This window comes from Homo sapiens, chromosome 17 (assembly GCF_000001405.40).
Source record: "Homo sapiens chromosome 17, GRCh38.p14 Primary Assembly".
NCBI classification, from domain to species: Eukaryota; Metazoa; Chordata; class Mammalia; order Primates; family Hominidae; genus Homo; species Homo sapiens.
This window is the reverse complement of record NC_000017.11, coordinates 8212118-8224814: the sequence shown is the minus strand read 5'-3', so window position 1 is coordinate 8224814 and position 12697 is coordinate 8212118. Positions and strand designations below refer to the sequence as shown.

Here is a 12697-nt window from a genome sequence, read left to right as displayed (position 1 = left end):
TGTTAGTTCTTGGTTATTAAAAGTGGGGTCTATGTACGCACTTTTCTGAGGAAAAAATAAAGTGTGGGGTATGTGGATGGGATTATGTGTGAACTCCCTGGATTGTATACATGTTTAGGAAGAGGGCCATAGCTTTTTTTTTTTTTTTTTTTTTTTGAGACGGAGGGAGTCTCATTCTGTCACCCAGGCTGGAGTGCAATGGCACAATATTGACTCACTGCAACCTCCGCTTCCCGGGTTCAAGCAATTCTCCTGCCTCAGTCTCCCGAGTAGCTGGGATTACAGGCGCCCGCCACCACGCCTGGCTAATTTTTGTATATTTAGTAGAGACGGGGTTTCACCATTTTGGTCAGGCTGGTCTTGAACTCCTGACCTTGTGATCCACCCACCTCAGCCTCCCAAAGTGCTGGGATTACAGGTGTGAGCCACTGTGCCCGGTGAAGAGGGACATAGCTTTCATAAGGGTCATAAAGGATTTAGGCCTCCCCTTCTGCAGCGTTTAAGTGCCTGAGGCCAGGGAAGAGGTGACTGGATTATTTTGCAGAGAAAGCTGGGGCCCAAGGGGAGGGAGACAGGAATTGGAAAAGGGTAGGAATGGGGGAGGAGATGCCAGATCAGCCCTGAGAACCTCTTTACCCATCTCAAAGACTTGGGACACTAATGGGAAAGGCTGGGCTAACTTCTGCTGCCCTTCCCCACTGTCTGTCCAGGGGAACCTGGGAAAGACAAATAGGAGCTGAATCCTTCACTGAAAGCCCCGTCATCGTATCTATGGGTTGGGCATTAGGAACGGCCTGGCCCCACAAATCACACAACTGGGGTGTAGAACAAAATGGTTCCACAGATGACACCAGGCTGGTCCAGGGCCGATGCAGGCCAGAACCCCGCTGGGAGGACTCCCCAGAACAGGCACTGAGCTGAGGAAAGGCAGGACACGTGGTCTGCTACCGACCCCACCAGATCTTGCTGGGACTCTGGGCAGCTCCGGAGTAAGAGCAGCATGGTGAGTGTTTAAGAGCGCAGAGGCTCACTGGGCAGTCCCGGGGACACTGCTAAGTCCCCAAACCGGGTCTACAGGCCTTCGACCACATTCATGCGGCCACGTGCCTCAGAGCCTTCGGGGGGTCTTAGGAGGCAGGCAGGAGGGTCTCCCTTCTAGGCCATTCTAGGAGGGGACTGGGGAGCAGAGGTTAGACTGTAGGGTAGGGGTAACCTGATCTTACAGTCCGGAAGCCATGAGACTAGTCGCCTGGCCTTGCGCCCCGCCCCACTGCAGGGTGGAAAGCCTGTCCCCCTCCAGTCACCCAGCTCAATAACGCCCTCTTCCGTGGGTCTTCTGGGCCCCAGAAATCGTTCCCTCTTTCCCTCGCTTGGGTACTGCCATGCGGTCTGGGGAACCCGTGGACTATCGATGGGTCTGGCCCAGGGTTTGCCCTGCCCGTTAGCCCAGGAGGATAGACAGACACGGGGCACTGGTGTTCCCCTAGTGATTTCTCCTGCCCGTCCCGAAAGCAAGCAATTCCACCGCTTCTCTTCAAAGCTCTGCAACGAAGAGCTAGGTCCAAGGACCGCAGGCGGAGGCAGGAAGTGTCAAGATCCCAGGTTACGGAATGGCACCAAGTCGGTAACCAAAGGAAGCAACAACCCGGGTGTTCAAGGCAGTCGTGCAAGGCGGCGCGGGGGCGAGGCCGAGGCCACTCCCTCCCACTTCCTTGACGCTATTTCCTGGGAGGAGCCGGAGCTCGCGGCCCGGAGCCAAGAGATTCCCAGCCCAGTGCTCCAAAATACTCGGCCTGGGGGAGGCTGGTCCGTGAGCGTGCGCCCGGACCGTTCCGCCATGCATAGTGGACCCAGCACTACAGCAAGCCTGGCACGACCTCTAAGGCGGTTCGCGGCAACGTCCGCACGTCGGCTCGTTGGTCTAGGGGTATGATTCTCGCTTCGGGTGCGAGAGGTCCCGGGTTCAAATCCCGGACGAGCCCTCCTTTACCTTTTACTGAGACAAGAGTGTCTTCAAGGAATAGGTTACCTGACCAGCGCTGCAGGAGGCTTGACTGTAAGTCATCAATGTACAGTAAGCTCTTTTGTGGCACCGCGGTAGCAGAAAGCATCTCAATCCCCAGACCCGCCTGGCATGTCAGGAAGAGACGAGGCACGCCCAGACTTGGGCAGGTCCCTCCCTTTCTGCTTCCTGACTTCCTTCCTGGTGTCTCAACTCGGCCACCACAGCCTGGTTTCGCTTTGATTGACACGCGTCAATCTATAGTTGTGGATGACAGTGTTCGGGAGAGCCCAGGAACTGTCAAAACTTGGTTCTCTGCAGTCCTGAAGGCACTCTGTCTCTTTCGGTCACTCCATCTGACGATTGGTGCCTGAAATACACCTACGGTTTCTGGTCAGCGTTTATCAGTGGTTGGAAGAACAGAACCCCTAGGAACCCTGCTGTCAGCACGCAGAGTGTAAAGTCTCAGATCAAGGATTCGGAGAAAGGTCTCTACAGGTCCCTCCTCGTTAGTATAGTGGTGAGTATCCCCGCCTGTCACGCGGGAGACCGGGGTTCGATTCCCCGACGGGGAGAGTACTAGCAGTTTTGAAACTTCTATCTTTTTGCTTTCATTAAATCCGTCCTGGTCCCTGGGATGGAGCTATAAAAAAGAGGGAAAGGAGGAGGGGAGGAGAGTTTGGCCTTCCTCTCCAGCTCGCATTCTAAGTTTCCATTTTACTTCAAGCAACTTAGAGTTCAAACGTGTACCTAAAGTGGCCATTATCTGCTCTGCTCAGTATGCTCATTAGCGCTCAGACTTGGCCTAGCTTGCTCCCTCCTTGACGGAAGTGCGCATTTCCAGTCTCTGCTTGAACCTGGGCAAGTAGCTTTGGCCCCCAGCCGTCCAGGGTGCAGAGCCCGGGCTTTTGTTTCCTTTCGCCTCCCTGCTTTTTGTGGATTCGCACTGCGATCCGGGAACAGTAGGCAACCCCGGGCCGAGATTCCGACGCGCTGCTCTCGCCTGGAGGGGCTTGCAGGGCGCATCCGTCAGGAGCGCGGTGGTCCAGCCGTGGTCGCGGGTGTAGCGGAAAGTGGGTCCTTTCGGAGCGGAAGTTTCCTCAGGAAAACCTCACGAAAACCCTCAACGATGCTGGGGCCCAGAAAACACGAAAAGGAAAAGGCGGGGGGGGGAAAAAACACCCAAAACGACTTGCGTTGGCCGGGAATCGAACCCGGGTCAACTGCTTGGAAGGCAGCTATGCTTACCACTATACCACCAACGCTCCGGTGCTAGCTCTCTTTCCTGGTTTTCATACCTCAGGTTGGTTGGGATGAGTCGGGTTGGACCCGTGCGGATCCAGGAAAACAGCGATCGAGGTAAAAGTAATGGCTGCCGTCGTCTGCCCAGCGCGCAATTGTGAGTGACCTTCACCGCTAGCGCGCGCCACCCACCCCACATGAACCTGTAGGGTTATGCCCAGTCTACAGACGAGGAAACCAAGATCCAGGGAAGCTGAGTCACCGGCAGAGCTGGGATTACGTCTAAGATTTGTCCAGGGGGCGAGAACTGCAGCGACACCATGATTTATCATCTCCAGAAAACAAAAAAAAAGGCCTAGACACATAAAAATGGCTTCTCTGTAGAGTGAGCTCAACGAGCTCAATGTGATTCCAGTTAAGGAATTGGGCCTTAAGCCAAATGCGCCTAAACGCAACTTGCCTCTCTATTATTTATCCAGAGGATGAATTTAATTCCTACGTACATGCGCCCACATCTCGTCAGCTGGTGCCTCAGAGAAATGCGCTGACAAATCTTAAAGGTGGGGCTTCATGACAAAAGTCCGCCCGTTATTGCTGCTCAACAGACCCATCAAGTCACGCTGTTGGACAGGCCTCGTGGCGCAACGGTAGCGCGTCTGACTCCAGATCAGAAGGTTGCGTGTTCAAATCACGTCGGGGTCAAACAAAACATTGTTTTCCCTAATCAAATAGACCTACGGTGACATTTTTCAGGATAGGAAAAAAAAAAAGCCTCCTCAGTAGAAGGATAGGAGGGGAATGAGACAAATATGAACGTTATTCAGAAGTTGGGTGCAGACTTTCAACATTATGTGATATATCCCTGTGGCAAAACTGCGCATGTATCCCTAAGGTCTATAAAAGTAAAAATAAATTTAAAAATAAAAAAATTCCCTGTTGTATGGAAATTGTTAAATAATTTTTTAAATTATTATTTTTTGTTTGTATTTTTTTTTCCCTTGAGACGGAGTTTCTCTCTTGTTGCCCAGGCTGGAATGCAATGGCACTATCGCGGCTCACCGCAACCTCCGCCCACGGGTTCAAAGGGATTCTCCTGCCTCAGCGTCCCGAGTAGCTGGGATTACAGGCATGCACCACCACGCCCGGATAATTTTGTATTTTAGTGGCGTGAGCCACTGTGCCCGGCCTTTTTAAATGTTTTTAATAATCTCTGCTGTTCTAGGTATGTTTACTTAACACTGAACACAAGGATATTAAATACAAATATTACCTTTCTCCAGACTTCCCAGCAGTCACTAGAAGCCCAGGACCACGTGCATTTTGGCTGCTTCCAGTATATTGAAAAACAAAACCGGTGGGATGGGATGGCTCACGCCTGTAATCCCAGCACTTAGGGAGGCCCAGGCGGGCAGATCACGAAGTCAAGAGATCAAGACCATCCTGGCCAACTTGGTGAAACCCCGTCTCTACTAAAAACTACAAAAATCAGCTGGGCGTGGTGGCGCATGCCTGTAGTCCCAGCTACTTGGGAGGCTGAGGCAGGAGAATCGCTTGAACCCCGGAGGCAGAGGTTGCAGTGAGCGGAGATTGGCACCACTACACTCCAGCCTGGCGACAGAGGGACACTCTCTCTCAAAAAAAAAAAAAAAAAAAGAAAGAAAGAAAAAGAAAAAGAAAGAAAGAAATCCAGGCCACCCACCCTATATGCCTTGTCTTTTCCAATGGGAAATTTATTCCCTTCACCTCTCTCTCCTCCACTAACAATACCTTTCTAAGTGTGACTGGCTTTGGTTGATGGGGAAGAATTTGGGCCATCTCACCACCATCCACACAGCAGACATTGCCCAGGTTAAAATCTGTGCTCCGCTTTCCTTCCCCTTTCTTGCCCCTGCCCACCTTCTGCCATAGCTGTCTCTGTGTCACTGTATCACTATGTACAAGACAAAGGCAGACAGTTGACCAGTCCTTGCAGAAATGGTGCTTGAAGAACTGCTGATGACCTGAGCAAGGTAACAGCATAGAAACTCTGGCGACCTAAGGCGGAGCTGGCTGTGAGGCTGGCTACCAAGCAGTCCCACCACCATTCTCACTGCCAGGGCAACCAGAAAACCTTGCCTGCATTAATTATTTCATAAGGAGATGCAAAATGATCATTTCCTAATTCTATCATTTTGTGTACATTTATTAGCTGAAACACACACACAGATATATTCGTAACAAAATAAAGAAGAAATACAGCCAGGTGTGGTGGCTCACGCCCGTAATCCCAGCACTTTGGGATGCCGAGGTGGGCAGATCACCTGAGGTCAGGAGTTTGAGACCAGCCTGGCCAACATGGTGAAACCCCGTCTCTACTCAAAATACAAAAAAAATTAACCAGGCATGGTGGCACATGCCTGTAATCCTAGCTACTTAGGAGGCTAAGGCAGGAGAATCACTTGAGCTTGGGAGGCGGAGGTTGCAGTGAGCTGAGATCATGCCATTACACTCCAACCTGGGCGACAGATTGACGCTCCGTCTCAAAAAAAAAAAAAAAAAGGAAATACACTTACAGTCCTTGTTTCTCTAACTGGCCACGTAGTGGTAGCTGATAACTAGCTGCTGCTGCTGCTGCTGCTTCTTTTTTTTTTTTTTTTTTCTTGAGATGGAGTCTCGCTCTGTCACTCAGGTTGGAGTGCAGTAGAGTGCAGGTGATCCACCCATCTCGGCCTCCCAAAGTGCTGGGATTACAGGCGTGACCCACTGTGCACAGCCTTTTTTTTATATTTTTAGTAGAGACGGGGTTTCATCATGTTGGCCAGGCTGGTCTCGAACTCCTGACCTCAGGTGATCCTCCCGCCTCAGCCCCCTAAAATGCTGGGAATAAAGGTATGAGCCACCGCACCTGGCCTAACTAGCTTCTTCTATTACCCATTTTGTCTTCCCATTGTCTTCAACAAGCCCCTCAACTGGTCCTGGTTATTTCCCTCGTAGGGAGACCCAAACCTTGTTCCTGAAGGGTCTAAGCCACTAGTAGTCCTATCTGAACTGAGTGCTTCCGCTTGTAGTTTTCCACTGACCTTAGAATCTGTATTAGTCTGCTCAGGCTACCATAACAAAATGCCGTAGACTGCGTGGCTTAAACAACAGATATTTATTTTCTCACTGTTCTGGAGGCTCAAAGTCCAAGATCAAGATGTTATCAGGGTTGGTGTCTGCTGAGGCCTCTCTTGCCGGCTTCTACATGCCGCCTTCTTGCAGTGTCCTCACATGGCCTTTCCTCTGTGCCGACAGGGAAAGAGAGAACTCTGGAGTCTCTCCCTCTTCTCCTAAGGATGCCAGCCCTGTAGGATTAGGATTCCACTCAAATGACCTCATTTAACCTTAACTACCTCCCTAAAGCTGTGTCTAGAAATACATTTACATTGGGTGTTAAAGCTTTATCATATGGATTTTGGAGAAACACAATTTCATCCATAACAACCACAGAAGAAAATGGTAGAGAAACAATATACCTAGACCTAATTCTTGAAAATATTTTTTTTTTGAGACGGAGTCTCTGTCTGTCGCCTAGGCTGGAGTGCAGTGGCGTGATCTCGGCTCACTGCAAGCTCCGCCTCCTGGGTTCACGCCATTCTCCTGCCTCAGCCTCCCTAGTAGCTGGGACTACAGGCACCCGCTATCACGCCCGGCTAATTTTTTTTTTGTATTTTTAGTAGAGACGGGGTTTCACCGTCTTAGCCAGGATGGTCTCGATCTCCTGACCTCGTGATCCACCCACCTCGGCCTCCCAAAGTGCTGGGATTTCAGGCATGAGCCACAGCGCCCGGCCTACTTCTTGAAATTTTACTGACCGGGCCTGGTGGCTCATGCCTGTAATCCTAGCACTTTGGGAGGCCGAGACGGGTGGATCACGAGGTCAGGAGATCGAGACCATTCTGGCTAACACGGTGAAACCTCGTCTCTACTAAAAATACAAAAAAAAAAAAAAAAAATAGCCAGGCGTGGTGGCGGGTGCCTGTAGTCCCAGCTACTAGGGAGGCTGAGGCAGAAGAATGGCGTGAACCCGGGAGGCGGAGCTTGCAGTGAGCTAAGATCGCGCCACCGCACTCCACCCTGGGGGACAGAGCGACACTCCGTCTCAAAAAAAAAAAAAAGAAATTTTACACTGGAACTCCACCTGTATGCCTTTTAGTTCATTTAAAAAAACATCATAAACAAATATAGCAAAATGTGTTAAGATTTGACTAATTTAATAGCAGTCACACAAGTGCCTTTAAAGTGTATTCCTGGATGGGTGTGGCGGCTCACGCCTGTAATCCCAGCACTTTGGAAGGCCAAGGTGGGTGGATCACCTGAGGTCAGGAGTTCGAGACCAGCCTGGTGAAAATGAGGAAACCCCTGTCTGTACTAAAAATACAAAAATTAGCTAGGCATGGTGGCCCACGCCTGTAATCCTGGGAGGCAGAGGTTGCAGTGAACCAAGATCACCCCATTGCACTCCAGCCTGGGCGACAAGAGCAACACTGTGTCTCAAAAAAAAAAAAAAAAAAAATTAGCCAGAATGGTGGCGGGCGCCTGTAATCCCAGCTACTTGGGAAGCTGAGGCAAGAGAATCGCTTGAACCGGGGAGGCAGAGGTTGCAGTGAACTGAGATTGCACTGCTGCACTCCAGCCTGGGCAACAAGAGTGAAACTCCATTTCAAAATAATAATAATAAGGCCGGGCGTGGTGGCTCATGCCTGTAATCCCAGCTCTCATGGAGGCAGAGGTGGGAGGATAGCTTGAGCCCAGGAGTTCGAGACCTGCTTGGGCAATATAGCGAGACCCTGTTCTCCACAAAAAGGAAGAAAAAAAAGACAAAATAATAATAATAATAAATAAATAAAAAAGAGCCGGGAGCGGTGGCTTCAGGCCTGTAATCCCAGCACTTTGGGAGGCTGCAGCAGGCGGATCACGAGGTCAGGAGTTCGAGAACAGCCTGACCAACATGGTGAAACCCCATCTCTACTAAAAATACAAAAATTAGCTGGGCATGGTGGCACACGCCTGTAGTCCCACCTACTTGGGAAGCTGAGGCAGGAGAATCACTTGAACGCAGGAGGCAGAGGTTGTGGTGAGCTGAGATCATCATGCCACTGCATTCCAGTCTGGGAAACAGAGCAAGACTCCATCTCAAAAAAAAAAAAGATATTTTATAATTTTTTGTGGTAAATTATACTTAACATAAATTTTACCATTTTAACCATTTTAAAGTGTACAATTAAGAGTTTCTGGTATATTCTCACAGTGGTGCATCAATCATCACTATTTAATTCCAGAACATTTTAATCACCCCCCCCCCAAAAAGAAACCATTGGCACTCACTCTGTATTCCCCCTTCTCCCTTCCCCTAGTCTCTGGAAACCACTAATCTGTTTCTGTCCCAGTGGATTTGCTTATGCTGGATATTATGCTGGATATCGCATGTAAATGCAATCATATAATATGTGAACTTTCTATCTTTTTTTTTTTTTTTTGACGGAGTCTTGCTCTGTTGCCCAGGCTGGAGTGCAATGGCACGATCTTGGCTCACTGCAACCTGTGCCTCTTGGGTTCAACGGCTCTCCTGCCTCAGCCTCCTGAGTAGCTGGGACTACAGGTGCCCACCACCACACCTGGCTAATGTTTGTATTTTTTGTAGAGACGGGATTTCGCCATGTTGCCCAGGCTGGTCTGGAACTTCTGGGCTCAAGGGATCTGCCCACCTTAGCCTTCCAAAGTGCTGGGACTACAGCCATGAGCTGCTGTGCTCAGCTTAGCCTCTTTTGTTTATACTGTTTTCATGGTTTCCATGAAATAAAATATCAGTACTTCATTCCTCTTAGGACTAAGTAAGTTTCTATTTTATGGATATATGACATTTTGTTTATTCATTCACCAGTTGATGGACATTTGGGCTGCTTCCAACTTTTGGCTGTTGTGAATAACGCTGCTTCTGAATATTTATGATACTTCCTTTCAATTCTTTTTTTTTTCTTTTTTTTTTTTTTTTGAGATGAGTCTTGCTCTGTCACCCAGGCTGGAATGCAGTGGCATGATCTCAGCTCACTGCAACCTCCACCTTCCAGGTTCAAGAGATTTTCCTCCCTCAGCCTCTGGAGTAGCTGGGATTATAGGCACCCACCACCACACCTGACTAATTTTTGTATTTTTAGTAGAGATGGGGTTTCACTATGTTGGCCAGGCTGGTCTCGAACTCCTGACCTCATGATCCACCCGCCTCGGCCTCCCAAAGTGCTGCGATTACAGGCGTGAGCCACCGTGCCTGGTCCACACCTTCTTTTTAGGGATTATTTGTCATTAATATTTAATCCTGCAAACAGTTCCATGACTCTATACACCTTCTAAAAAATTAGAACATTAAAGGCAAAACTTAAGTCCCCTTTGATGACCAACCATCTCTGCCTGCTCCCTCCTCTCCACAGAAGAGACAATGGCAATGCAAATACATGAGGTATATTTCACTACGTTGATGTGCCGGCAGTTAAAGGTAAATTGATAGATTAAAGAAGCAAATTGGTGTAACCAAGTCCAAACTTGTTCTGAGGCTGCAATGAGCTATGATTGTGCAGCAAGAGTGCTTGCCTCGGACAAAAGAGACCTTCTCTTAAAAAAAAAAAAAAAAAAAGGCCAGGTGCAGTGGCTCATGCCTGTAATCCCAGCACTTTGGGAGGCCGAGGTGGATGGATCACAAGGACAGGAGTTCGAGACAAGCCTGGCCAATGTGGTGAAACCCCATGTCTACTAAAAATAAAAAAATTAGCTGGGAGTGGTGGTGGGTGCCTGTAGTCGCAGCTACTCGGGAGGCTGAGGCAGGAGAATGGCGTGAACCCGGGAGGCGGAGGTTGCAGTGAGCCGAGATCACACCACTGCACTCCAGCCTGGGCGATAGAGCGAGTCTCTGTCTCAAAAAACAAACAAACAAACTGTGTGTGTGTGTGTATATATATATATATATATATATATATCTTATCTTACCTCTTTCCTGTCTGTCCTGAAGCTGGCCATAAATAAATTCTCTGAACAATCTTGTTCAATTATAGGTCATAAGACCCCCATTTCAGAAGGTGGAAGGAATACTGCACAGAGAAGCCGGGAAGAATCTAGACAGGCCTTGCTGGGCTTCCCCACTCAGCCTATTAGTACTAGATCATACCCTCTTCGTCCAATCACATTTCTACACAGTCGTCATGCTTCAATCACACCTATTTAATGAAGTCTCCATAAAAGACCCAAGAGGATGGGGTAGAGAGAGCTTCCTGAGAGCTGAACCCGTGGAGCATCCTGAAGGGCGGCACACCTCAGAAGGGCATGGAAGTTCCATGCCCTTCCCACCTCCTTGCCCCGTGCATCTCTTCATCTGTATCCTTGGTCATATCCTTTATAAGGCCGGGCACGGTGGCTCACGCCTGCAATCCCAGCACTTTGGGAGGCCAAGACGGGTGGATCACGAGGTCAGGAGTTCGAGACCAGCCTGGCCAACGTAATGAAACCCCGTCTCTACTAAAAATACAAAAATCAGCTGGGCGTGGTGGCGAGTTCTCCTGCTGAGGCAGGAGAATCACTTGAATCCGGGAGGCAGAGGTTGCAGTGAGCCGAGATTGCACCATTGCACTCCAGCCTGGGTGGCAGAGAGACTCCATCTCAAAAAAAAAAAAAATCCTTTATAATAAACCAGTAAACATTTTTTCCTGAGTTCTGTCAGCCACTCTAGCAAATTCATTGAACATAAAGAGGGAATCGTAGGAACCCTAGCTTACACCCAGTTAGTCATGAGTACAGGTAAAAACAACCTGAGGCTTGCAGTTGGCATCCAAAGTGAGGGGCAGTCTTGTGGGACTGAGCCCTCAACCTATGGGATCTGATGCTCTCTCTGGGTAGATAGTGTCAGAATCTAATCGGAAGACACCCAGCTGATGTCTGCTGCAGAACAGATTGCTTGATTGCAGAACTGATTGCTTGGTGGTGCAGTAAAATCTCCACACATGTGGTCGCAGAAGTCTCCTGTGTTGATTGCTGTGGTGTGAGGGCAGAGGAAAAATTGGGTCTTTTTTTGTTTTTGTTTTTTTTAGACAGACTCTTGCTGTGTTGCTCAGGCTGGAGTGCAGTGGCGTGATCTCGGCTCACTGCAACACTCCCAGGTTCAAGCAATTCTTGTGCCTCACTCAGCCTCCTGAGTAGCTGGGACTATAGGCACCCGCCACCGCAACTGGCTAATTTTTTTTTTTTTTTCGAGACGGAGTCTAGCTCTGTCACCCAGGCTAGAGTGCAGTGATGCGATCTCAGCTCCCTGCAACCTCCGCCTCCCAGGTTCAAGCGATTCTCTTTCCTCAGCCTCCCAAGTAGTTGGGATTACAGGCGCCTGCCACCACATCCAGCTAATTTTTGTATTTTTAGTAGAGACGGGTTTCACTGTGTTGGCCAGGCTGGTCTCGAACTCCTGACCTCGTGATCCACCCACTTCAGCCTGCCAAAGTGCTGGGATTACAAGCATGAGCCACCGCGCCTGGCCAGAACTGGCTAATTTTTTGTATTTTAGTAGTAACGGGGTTTCACCATGTTGCCCAGGGTGGTCTTGAACTCCTGAGCTCAGGCAATCCACCCTCCTTGGGCTCCTGAAGTGCTAGGATTACAGACATGAGCCACTGCGCCCTGCCCATTTTTTGTTTTTATTGAGACAGGGTGTCACTCTAATGTCGGGGCTGGAGTGCAGTGGTGCAATCATGGCTCACCACAGCCTTGACCTCCGGCCTCTGCTGATCCTCCTGCCTCAGCCTATCAAGTAGCTTGGACTAGAGGCACACACTACCATACTGGCTAATTTTTTTTTTTTTTATTTGTAGAGACGGGGTTTCACAGGTTGCCCAGGCTGATCTTAAACTCCTGGGCTCAAGTGATACAGCCGCCTTAGCCTCCCAAAGTGCTGGGATTACAGGCGTGAGCCGCCAAGCCTAGCCATGGTTTGTTTTTTCTACACAATATGCTTAAACAGCAAATAGCATTTAGAATGCATTCAGAAAGGATATTAGCTGAATAATAATCTTCTCTATTGTTCATGTAAGAAAAGTGCTAACGTAGGCATGTAGAGGCTCAACAATGTCATCAAGTCCTGAAGTTCTTTCCAGGCCTCTCTTCTGCCTTCTGCAATGTTAGGCTTCAATGTCAAGCTGCTTCCTTCAGTAGCACTAGAAGCAGCAATGAGGGCTGCATGCTTCCCTGCTCACTTCCAGAAATCTCTTCCTCCATACCTTGCCCTATACATCTTTTCATCTATATCATTTGTAATACACTTTATGATAAACCAGTAAACGTTAAGTGTTTCCTTGAGCTGCCCAGCATTCTGAGCAAGAAACTGATTCCCACTAGCTGGCCCACTTAAATCACAGGCTTATGCCTGATCCAATAACCATAATCTGGAATAAAAGGTATTGA

General features: G+C 49.1%; 1 long non-coding RNA gene and 4 other non-coding genes across 5 annotated transcripts, besides 10 other annotated features; 4 read left to right on the top strand and 1 right to left on the bottom strand.

Annotated features, from left to right (window-relative positions):
• LINC00324 (long intergenic non-protein coding RNA 324) lies at positions 772-4185 on the top strand. Its single transcript, NR_026951.1, has 3 exons — positions 772-1003; positions 1541-2522; positions 3306-4185. It is a non-coding gene; the product is annotated as a long intergenic non-protein coding RNA 324 (long non-coding RNA).
• Positions 989-1228: an enhancer, noted in NCBI's record as "active region_11689". NCBI's record gives its function as "activates an Ori minimal core promoter by ATAC-STARR-seq in GM12878 lymphoblastoid cells {active_cell/tissue: GM12878}" and the evidence as "EXISTENCE:reporter gene assay evidence [ECO:0000049][PMID:35858748]".
• Positions 989-1896: a biological region, named in NCBI's record as "H3K27ac-H3K4me1 hESC enhancer GRCh37_chr17:8126237-8126978".
• Positions 1155-1896: an enhancer, noted in NCBI's record as "H3K27ac-H3K4me1 hESC enhancer chr17:8126237-8126978 (GRCh37/hg19 assembly coordinates)". NCBI's record gives its function as "activates a minimal SCP1, AML or CMV promoter by ChIP-STARR-seq in naive H9 embryonic stem cells {active_cell/tissue: H9 hESC(naive)}" and the evidence as "EXISTENCE:reporter gene assay evidence [ECO:0000049][PMID:30033119]".
• Positions 1479-1608: an enhancer, noted in NCBI's record as "active region_11688". NCBI's record gives its function as "activates an Ori minimal core promoter by ATAC-STARR-seq in GM12878 lymphoblastoid cells {active_cell/tissue: GM12878}" and the evidence as "EXISTENCE:reporter gene assay evidence [ECO:0000049][PMID:35858748]".
• TRP-CGG1-3 (tRNA-Pro (anticodon CGG) 1-3) lies at positions 1911-1982 on the top strand. The gene has a single exon. It is a non-coding gene; the product is annotated as a tRNA-Pro (tRNA).
• Positions 1959-2008: a silencer, noted in NCBI's record as "silent region_8177". NCBI's record gives its function as "represses an Ori minimal core promoter by ATAC-STARR-seq in GM12878 lymphoblastoid cells {active_cell/tissue: GM12878}" and the evidence as "EXISTENCE:reporter gene assay evidence [ECO:0000049][PMID:35858748]".
• Positions 2219-2418: an enhancer, noted in NCBI's record as "active region_11687". NCBI's record gives its function as "activates an Ori minimal core promoter by ATAC-STARR-seq in GM12878 lymphoblastoid cells {active_cell/tissue: GM12878}" and the evidence as "EXISTENCE:reporter gene assay evidence [ECO:0000049][PMID:35858748]".
• Positions 2469-2538: a silencer, noted in NCBI's record as "silent region_8176". NCBI's record gives its function as "represses an Ori minimal core promoter by ATAC-STARR-seq in GM12878 lymphoblastoid cells {active_cell/tissue: GM12878}" and the evidence as "EXISTENCE:reporter gene assay evidence [ECO:0000049][PMID:35858748]".
• TRD-GTC2-11 (tRNA-Asp (anticodon GTC) 2-11) lies at positions 2506-2577 on the top strand. Its single transcript has one exon. It is a non-coding gene; the product is annotated as a tRNA-Asp (tRNA).
• Positions 2799-2938: an enhancer, noted in NCBI's record as "active region_11686". NCBI's record gives its function as "activates an Ori minimal core promoter by ATAC-STARR-seq in GM12878 lymphoblastoid cells {active_cell/tissue: GM12878}" and the evidence as "EXISTENCE:reporter gene assay evidence [ECO:0000049][PMID:35858748]".
• On the bottom strand, positions 3196-3267 carry TRG-TCC3-1 (tRNA-Gly (anticodon TCC) 3-1). Its single transcript has one exon. It is a non-coding gene; the product is annotated as a tRNA-Gly (tRNA).
• Positions 3231-4117: an enhancer, noted in NCBI's record as "NANOG-H3K27ac hESC enhancer chr17:8124016-8124902 (GRCh37/hg19 assembly coordinates)". NCBI's record gives its function as "activates a minimal SCP1, AML or CMV promoter by ChIP-STARR-seq in primed H9 embryonic stem cells {active_cell/tissue: H9 hESC(primed)}" and the evidence as "EXISTENCE:reporter gene assay evidence [ECO:0000049][PMID:30033119]".
• Positions 3449-3598: an enhancer, noted in NCBI's record as "active region_11685". NCBI's record gives its function as "activates an Ori minimal core promoter by ATAC-STARR-seq in GM12878 lymphoblastoid cells {active_cell/tissue: GM12878}" and the evidence as "EXISTENCE:reporter gene assay evidence [ECO:0000049][PMID:35858748]".
• On the top strand, positions 3875-3946 carry TRW-CCA1-1 (tRNA-Trp (anticodon CCA) 1-1). The gene has a single exon. It is a non-coding gene; the product is annotated as a tRNA-Trp (tRNA).